The sequence below is a fragment of the Homo sapiens genome, chromosome 20 (assembly GCF_000001405.40).
Source record: "Homo sapiens chromosome 20, GRCh38.p14 Primary Assembly".
Taxonomy (NCBI): Eukaryota; Metazoa; Chordata; class Mammalia; order Primates; family Hominidae; genus Homo; species Homo sapiens.
The window spans coordinates 44,466,503-44,475,810 of record NC_000020.11 but is presented as its reverse complement, the minus strand read 5'-3'; the positions used below and the strand labels follow the sequence as shown (position 1 = coordinate 44,475,810).

Below are 9,308 nucleotides of genomic sequence, written 5' to 3'. Positions count from 1 at the left end.
GTTGGTGTTCAGTCCCCACCTGGCTGCCGGAGCTCCGAGCTGCGGACCTGGAGTGGCTGGGAGGAGCTGGGGCACCAGCCGCTTGTCAAACCCGGCTTATAGATGGGGAAACTGAGGCTCAGAGAAGGAAGGAAAGAAGCTGCCATTTTCCAAGAACATGCTAACATGTACCTGTTGTTTAACATCCATGATCTCATTAACTCCTCATATTTATGCAATTCCCCTATTTCAGGAAAGGGAAACTGGCAATCAAGGCAGTAAAGGGCTTCAAACCCGGACCTCAGGATTAGCATTCTAGACTTCCCCCCACTATGGCTGCTATCAGGACTAGCTGCTCCAAAAAGGGAGACTCCAAACCAGGGGACATCTGTCTGTCATTAACTGAGTGACCTGGAGCAAGTCCCCATTCCTTCTTGTGCTTCCGTTTCCTTACCTGAAACCTGATTCTTGCTCTGGAGCCTGATTCAATAATTACTTTTTTCCTGCTTTGGGGTTCATTACGTTCCCTCCAGACAAAGGCTTTACTAACTCCCACCCCAGTCCATTAAGATCCGCCCGCAAGTATTTTGTGCAACTGCAACTTTGAGGCAAATCTCCTAGGTCCCTCTGAGGCAGAACCTCTGGTGGTCCAGGAGAACTCTGAGCCTAAAGAAACGACCTTAAACAGTCTTTTCATTTTCCTACCCCAGGGGCAAGAGGAGTCCCAAGAAGATGGGAAGTGACCCATGAGGGCCACAAGAACGTGGCAGTTTCTGCCAGATTGAGGGGCAGGGGGCAGCAGTATGGAGGCGACCTGGGAATCATGAGTTTTGACTCCTGCTCTCAGTTTCATCACTTCTAAGATTGACAGACAAAATATATAACATTCACTACAGTTTGAATTTCAGATAAACATTTAAGCATGTTCCTTTCCAAACACACACACACATACACACAGATAAGTGTGTCCTATGCAACATTTGGGACACATTTATACTTTAAAAATTGTTGTTTATAGGAAATTCAAATATGACTACTGGGCATCCTGGATTTTGTTTTGTTTGCTAAATCTATGTATTATTTTCCTGTTACTGTTACAAGGAATTACTGCAAACTTCATGGATTGAAACAACACAGATATATTCTCTTGCAGTTCTCTAGGTCAAAAGTCTAAAATCAAGGTGTTGGCAAGGCTGCATTCTTTTGGGGATTTGGAGGAAGCATCAGTTCCTTTCCTTTTACAGTTTGTAGAGGCCACCTGCATTCCTTAGCTTATGGCCCCTTCTTCAAATCACCTCAACCTCTGGCTTCTGTTGTCACCTCTACTACTGACTGATCCTCCTGCTTCCCTCTTCTTATAAGGACTCTTGGGATTACATTGGGCTCAGCCAGATAATCCAGGATAATCTTACCATCTCAAGATCCTTACATTAATCACATCTGTGAGATCTTTTAAAACGTAAGGTAAGGCCGGGTGCAGTGGCTCACGCCTGGAATCCCAGCACTTTGGGAGGCTGAAGCAGGTGGATCACTTGAGATCAGGAGTATGATGAGACCACCCCAGCCAACATGGTGAAACCCTGTCTCTACTAAAAATACAAAAATTAGTTGGGCGTGGTGGCACACGCCTGTAATCCGAGGCCCCCACTTCCGGCTGTCACACCCAACTATGCGGGAGCCTGAGGCAGGAGAATCACTTGAACCCAGGAGGCAGAGGTTGCAGTGAGCCGAGATCATGCCACTGCCCTCCAGCCTGGGCGACAGAGCGAGACTCTGTCTCAAAAAGAAAACCCCCCAAAACAGCCGGATGTGGTGGCTCATGCCTATAATCTCAGCACTTTGAGAAGCCAAGGCAGGTGGATCACCTGAGTTCAGGAGTTCGAGACCAGCCTGGCCAACCTGGTGAAACCCTGTCTCTACTAAAAATACAAAAATTAGCCAGGCCTGTAATCCCAGCCACCTGGGAGGCTGCCTGGGCTCAAGCCATTCTCCTGCGCCCTGCCAAATGGCAGCTCTTGTGGCAAAGGGTGAGGGATGACCCTGTCCTAACCAGGCTGTCCTAGGTATTGGAATAAATTCACCCCTCTCCTTAACCCAAACCTAGGACCTACTACTGGTACCTGGAGCCCAGATGGCAATCCTAGATGTTGCCAGCAGGAGAAGAACTTGGTCTCAAGGGCAGGGCAGGGAGAGGATTCAGAGATGCCCCAGAAATCCCTGCCTCTTCCCTCAACTGAGGGCCATTATTTCTTGTTCCTCTTGGTATTACATTTTAGAGAACCAGATTATATCAGGATTAGAACATCTCCGATAAACAATGACAACAAAAAGAGTTTCTGCTTTTTGAATTATATATACCAGGCACTGTGCTTGTATGATCTTAATTTCACCTTACAATGACCCTGTGAACAGCGAGCTAGGATTGTCCCATTTACAGAAGAGGAAACTAAAATCCAGAAAGAGGCCAGGCTTGGTGGCTCATGCCTGTAATCCCAGCAATTTGGGAGGCCAAAGTGGTGGATCACTTGAGGTCAGGAGTTTGAGACCAGCCTGGCCAACATGGTGAAATCCCGTGTCTACTAAAAATACAAACATTAACCAGGCATGGTGGCAGGCGCCTGTAATCCCAGCTACTCTGGAGGCTGAGGCAGGAGAATCACCTGAACCCGGGAGGTGGAGGTTGCAGTCAGTCAAGATTGTGCCATTGCACTCCAGGCCGGGCAACAGAGCGAGACTCCATCTCAAAAAATAATAATAAAATAAAATAATGTAAAATATTCAGAAAGAGAAAGTCTCCTAAGGGCTCAAGATATGAAAGAGAGAGCTAGGTATCAATTCAAGCCTGTATGACACCATGGTCCCAAATTTTACTTTGTCCTAAAGGTCATGTAGCCCTGTCTCTGTTTCTACAGGTTGGGAAAAAGGATCAGAGAAGGACAAAAAATTGCCCAAAGTCACATGATGACTAAGTGTTTGAGCTGGTATTTGATGTCTGTCTTCTCTGCCTTGGACACTCAGAATTTATGGAGTCTGAACAACCTCTTGAAAAGACTCATTTCCTTATGTATAAAATGGGGATATGGCCTTTGTTTAGAGGGGATCCTTGGGAGGATGTCATAGAACGGCATGTGCAGGTCGAGCACGGTGGCTCACATCTGTAACCCCAGCACTGTGGGAGGCTGAGGCGGGCGGATCACTTGAGGCTAGGAGTTTGAGACCAGCCTGGCCAACAGGGTGAAACCCTGTCTCTACTAAAAACACAAAAAAACAAGCTGGGTGTGGTGGCACACGCCTGTAATCCCAGCTACTCAGGAGGCTGAGGCAGGAGAATCGCTTGTACCGGGGGGCAGAGGTTGCAGTAAGCCGAGATCATGCCACTGCACTCCAGCCCGGGCAACAGAGTGAGACTCTGTCTCAAAAAAAAAAAAGAATGGCATGTGCAGAGTTCTGGCACATTGTATCATGAAATGTCTGTTTATCGGTGATGATCACCCCCTCTCAAGCAGAAAGATCACCAGGGGGCGGCTTGCCCTGTGTCTTGGTTTGGAAGGTTTCAAACATCTTGCTCTCCTCGTTTCATCCAGCCTCTGAAGAAAAAAATCTTGACATTGCATTGCATACCTGCTGGAGGAGGCTAGACATGCCTGAGCTGTCTCTGTTCAGGGCCTGTGATTCTGAGCTCAGAAAATCTCCTAGGACCAGCCTTAGTATTGATTCTAAGGTAAGGCTTATTTAGTTTTATTTATTTTCTTTTTATTTTTTTTTGAGATGGAGTCCCACTCTGTCACCCGGGCTGGAGTGCAGTGGCACAATCTCGACTCTGTGCAACCTGTACCCCCTGGGTTCCAGCGATTCTCCTGCCTCAGCTTCCCTAGTAGCTGGGGCTACAGGTGTGTACCACTACGCGCGGCTAATTTTTGTATTTTTAGTAGAGACGGGTTTCACCATGTTGGCCAGGCTAGTCTCAAACTCCTGACCTCAGATGATCTGCCTGCCTCAGCCTCCCAAAGTGCTGGGATTACAGGAGTGAGCCACCGTGCCCTGCCTGGCAAGGCTTATTTAGGATGGCACCACAGTATAGGGCATAATTTCTCAACATTAGCACTATTGACATTTGGAGCTGGAAAAGTCTTTGTTTCGGGGGCATGGGAGAGATGTTGTCCTGTAGGATGTTTAATGTCATTCCTAGGCTTTACCCACTAGATGACAGTAGCACTCCACATTCACAGTGATAAAAACCAAAGGTATCTCCAGACATTGCCAAATACCAGCTGGGAGACAAAGCTGCTCTGAATTAAGAACTAGTGTGGGAGAAAGAATGTTAGGTTCTGGTCAGACAGACCTGAGTCTAAAGCCTGTGTCACTTACCAGCTGTGTAACAATGGAACAGTTATCTGTCTCTCCAACCCTTGGTTTCATCAACCATAAAATCCTATACTAACTGCTACCAGTCACTGAATGCTTTCATTGGTACAGTGATAAGCTCTTTGCATGGATAGTTTCATTTGATTGTCAATAACAGAATCATGGGACCAGGCACGGTGGCTCACGCCTGTAATCCCAGCACTTTGGGAGGCTGAGGCAGGAGGATGACTTGAGGCCAGGATTTCAAGACCAGCCTGGCCAACATGGTGAAACACCATCTCTCCTAAAAATACAAAAATTAGCTGGGTGTGGTGGTGGGTGCCTGTAATCCCAGCTGCTCAGGAGGCAGAAGCAGGAGAATCGTTTGAACCCGGCAGGTGGAGGTTGCAGTGAGCCGAGATCGTGCCATTGCGCTCCAGCCTAAACAACAGAGCAAGACTCCACCTCAAAAAACAAACAAAAAAGCCCCCCACCAAACCCCCCAGAATCCTGTAAAGACACTGACCAGTGGAAATAGGGAGGAAGATGAGGAGGGAGTGGTCCATATCAGGCATCTTCTCTGTACCTTGCATGAAAGCAGGTGACCTCACATGCATCTCTGCGCTGTCACTGGCTGTGTGATCTTGGGCAAATCACATTTCCCCTGGGGCTCAGTTTCCTCATTGGTGAAAATAATACCAGCTGGGGAATTCTGGAAAGATGGAGGCAATAATGCCTAGCATAGATTTGAATATCCCCAAATCCCCAAATAAAAATAGAAAAAAATTCATAAACACATTTACAACAAAACTAAGTGACAAGGCATCTTCATGAACTCCAAAAAACGTGTGGGGACAAATCACCAACAGCTACAAGGCCTGCATGCCATTGGCATCTCTGTGCAGTAGAAACAGAAGGGAAGCAGCAAGGTGTCTGGCGGGCCTGAGACATGGAGAGTGCTAAAATTGCAACATGTATTCACGTGTTGTTGGGAAAACAGCAGCTGAAACTGGAAAGCGTTTGCCAACTCCAGTAGTGGGCGAGTGTAAGGTGTTTGCCACACAACCTAAGGTTTAAAGGAGTTTTTAACCCCTGTGAATTACTGAGTCATTTTAACCAGTAATTATAGCATCTTTCCATTTTATCAGCCCCTGTATCCTTGAAAATGAAAGATTCCAAGTGTGGAAGAAAGGAACTACAGGTGTAATACAGAATAGATTCCATAAACATCCTATAAAACTCTATTTACATTGGATATATCAATGTGAACTCGAAACTATTTTTAAAGGAAATGTATATGCGTGTATTCATATATATAATACCTAGTTCTAGCTATTAAAAAGACTTAAACCATAATCAATCTTGTAGCAATGAGCATATCTTGCACCCAGATAATAGTTTTGATTAATACAAATAAAAAGACTTCTTGAAGAAATTACTCATTCCAGATCTGTAGCAGGAAATATACAAAATAAGCCTGGAATATCTTGTCACGCCAATTAACAAGGAAGCTATCGAAGGCTACCAGGGTCACACCAAAAGGACTTACAAGCCAGCCTGTGGATGAAACAATTTTAGCTGCAACAAAGACAATACTTGCAGTTGATTGAAACTTATCAAATATGTTTAGCCGGGAGTGGCGGCTCACGCCTGTAATGCCAGCACTTTGGGAGGCTGAGGCGGGCGGATCACCTGAGGTCCGGAGTTCGAGACCAGCCTGACCAACATGGAGAAACTCCGTCTCTACTAAAATACAAAAATTAGCCAGGTATGATGGTGGGTGCCTGTAATCCCAGCTACTGGGGAGGCTGAGACAGGAGAATCTGTTGAACACGGTAGACGGTGGTTGCAGTGAGCCAAGAAAGATCATGCCACTGCCTGGGCGGTTGAGCGAGACTCCATCTCAACAAAAAATAAATAAATAAAAATAAAAAGTGGACTCAACTAAACAATAACATCTAGGAATGCACACTCAGATGATTAAGTCATGAAGAAATGCAAGGAAGTAATTAATAGTCGGATTAGTGATTATTTTGGGGGGATGGGCTGTGATTGGTATGGAGTACCTGGTGAGGTGGGGAGGGGAACCCTGAGGTGGCTGAAAAAATTCTGTATTTTGACCGGGGTGGTGGTTACAGGGTGTTTGCCTTGATATAACTCACTAAGCTACAATTTTTTTTTTTTGAGATAGTGTCTCACTTTGTTGCCTGGGGTGGAGTACAGTAGTGTGATCTCAGCTCACTGTGGCCTCAGACCTCCCTAGACTCAAGTAATCCTCCTGCTTCAGCCTCCTGAGTAACTGGGGCTACAGGTACGTGCCAACCATGCCTGGCTAATTTATGTATTTTTCGTAGAGATGGCATTTCAGGTTTTGCCATGTTCCCCAGGTTGGTCTCAAACTCCTGAGCTCAAGTGATCTACTCACCTCGGCTTCTCAAAGTGGTGGGATTACAGGTGTAAGCCACTGCACCTGGCTGCTACAAATTTAATTTGTGTGGTTTTCTGCAACTGTTTTGCTCTATAATATAAAGGTTTTAAAAAATGAGGACAGCAACACTTACTTCACACTATGTGTGTGTGCATATGTGTGTTTACATGTACATATACATGTATCTAAATGTATGGTTTCTGTTAGCACCAGGTATGTAGGTAGATGCTCACTAAATATGACTTCCATGTGAATTTTGTTCAAAACACTGACCCGTGTGATTTCAGCACCATTACCGACATTACTAACTTGTGTGGCTAATTAAAAATAGTTCATGCTTCCCAACTGGGGCAGAGACTGGAAAAATAAAACAAAATAAAAAATCGTTAATGGTTATTAGGTGATACTATGTGCCAGGCACTGTTTCCAGTGCAACTAATCTAATTGAATCCTTATAACTGTATTATGATTATTCCCATTTTACAGAGAAGAAAACTGAGGCTTAGAGACTTTCCCTGTGGCCACACAGGAGGTGGCAGGGCAGCCTGTTTTGTTTTGTATTATTTTGTTTTGAGGCAGCGTCTCACTCTGTGGCCCAGGCTGGAGTGCAGTGGCACAATCTTGGCTCACTGCAACCTCTGCCTCCTGGGTTCAGGCTATTCTCTTGCCTCAGTCTCCTGAGTAGCTGGGATTACAGGGACATGCCACCACGCCCAGCTAATTTTATTTGCATTTTTAGTAGAGATGGGGTTTCGCCATATTGGCCAGGTTGGTCTCGAATTCCTGGCCTCAAGTGAGCCACCCGCCTTGGCCTCCCAAAGTGCTAGGATTACAGGCATGAGCCACCGCACCTGGCCAGTAGCCTGGTTTGGAACCCAGGCAGTCTGGCTTTCAGCTCTGCCCTCTCATCCACTGTAGCATATGTACCATACTGTTTTTTACTTGGTGTCTAGTGCCCCTGTTTGCAATAATAACTCCCCCTTATGGAGTGCCTGCTAATATGTGTGCCATTCTTTGACATTCACTACCCGAATCTCACATCAACCCTGGAAGGTGAAGGTACTTGTTAGTCTGCATTTGGTGGCTAGGAAAACTAGAACTCAGAGAGCTGAAAAACTTGCTCAAAGTAACAGAGTAAGTAAATGGCAGTAAGTGATGGAGGAGGAGTTTGAATTGGGGACGGGGAGGGTTCATACTCTGACCCTTGGGATTCTAAAGAACAAAGTGTCCTATACTCTTAAACAGATGCTCATCTGATGGGTCTGACCCAGTTTGAGGTCATGCGTTGCCCAACCAGTGGTCCGGAGCCTGGCTTGGCTTGAGAAGTGTCCAGACGCAGGCTGGGGGAAGTCAGAGGCTTCGCAAACACCAGACATGTTTGACCCCAATCAGAGGGTCGTGCAAAGCTTGTGACCCCGGGCCTGGGGTTCCCTAAGGAGCGAGAGACTCCTGTTTCTCCATGTGCCAGCCTTGTGCTCACAAGCTGCAGAATCAGGTCCTAGAACGAAGCTGGCCACCTCTCGGGACAGGGTAAAGAGATGCCCATGGGTTGGCTGTGCAGATTTCCCAGAAGTGGGAAGAACCTGGCTGTGTTTTTGTGGTCACACATTGATTTCCTAACCTGAGTCAGCATGGCTGCTTGGAGGTACAGTATGTCCTCTCTGTTCCCAGGGGCCCTGGATCCCAGCCTGGCTGAAGCATTTCCAAAACAGGGCCTGGAATAGTGAGGGAAACGGAAGGGGTGGAGATCCCAAATCCCCTCCGTCAGTACCAGCCACCCACCGTTGTATTAAAAACGCCCAGCATGGACTGAGTTCTTACCAGGTGCCAGGTCCCGTGCTAAGCATGTCATATGTATTCACTTAACTAACCTTACAGAGATGCAATGGAGTAGAGGCTCTTCCATTTAACAAAGGAGTAAACAGACTCAGAGAAGCCACATCACTTGTAAATGGTCCCACGGAGATGGAATTTGCAGGTCTGTGATTGTGGAATTCTGGAGTGTTAGCTCCGCAAATTCACTACTTCACTCAGCCCTCACCACAAACCCCCACCCAGTAAGGTGCTGCCACCCGCAGTAAGGATATGAAAAAACTGAGGCTGGGGGTGGTGGACATGACTTGTAAGATGTTTCTAGAAAGCTCTGCTGTGACAACCAGTAACTGTTTTTTAAAAGCCCAGTCCAACTCTCTGGGCTCGGACCTAGTTCGCGGTGACATGGCCAAACCTACCAAGAAAGTCGGGATCGTCGGTAAATACGGGACCCGCTATGGGGCCTCCCTCTGGAAAATGGTGAAGAAAGTTGAAATCAGCCAGCAGGCCAAGTACACTTGCTCTTTCTGTGGCAAAACCAAGATGAAGAGATGAGCTGCGGGGATCTGGCACTGTGGTTCCCGCGTGAAGACAGTGGCTGGCGGTGCCTGGACATACAATACCACCTCCGCTATCACGGTAAAGTCCGCCATCAGAAGCCTGAAGGAGTTGAAAGACCAGTAGACGCTCCTCTACTCTTTGAGACATCACTGGCCTGTAATAAATGGGTTAATTTACGTAACAA

General features: G+C 46.6%; 1 pseudogene, besides 1 other annotated feature; it reads left to right on the top strand.

Moving 5' to 3' along the window:
- Window positions 52–141: an enhancer, noted in NCBI's record as "active region_17924". NCBI's record gives its function as "activates an Ori minimal core promoter by ATAC-STARR-seq in GM12878 lymphoblastoid cells {active_cell/tissue: GM12878}" and the evidence as "EXISTENCE:reporter gene assay evidence [ECO:0000049][PMID:35858748]".
- On the top strand, window positions 8,938–9,308 carry RPL37AP1 (ribosomal protein L37a pseudogene 1; annotated as a pseudogene).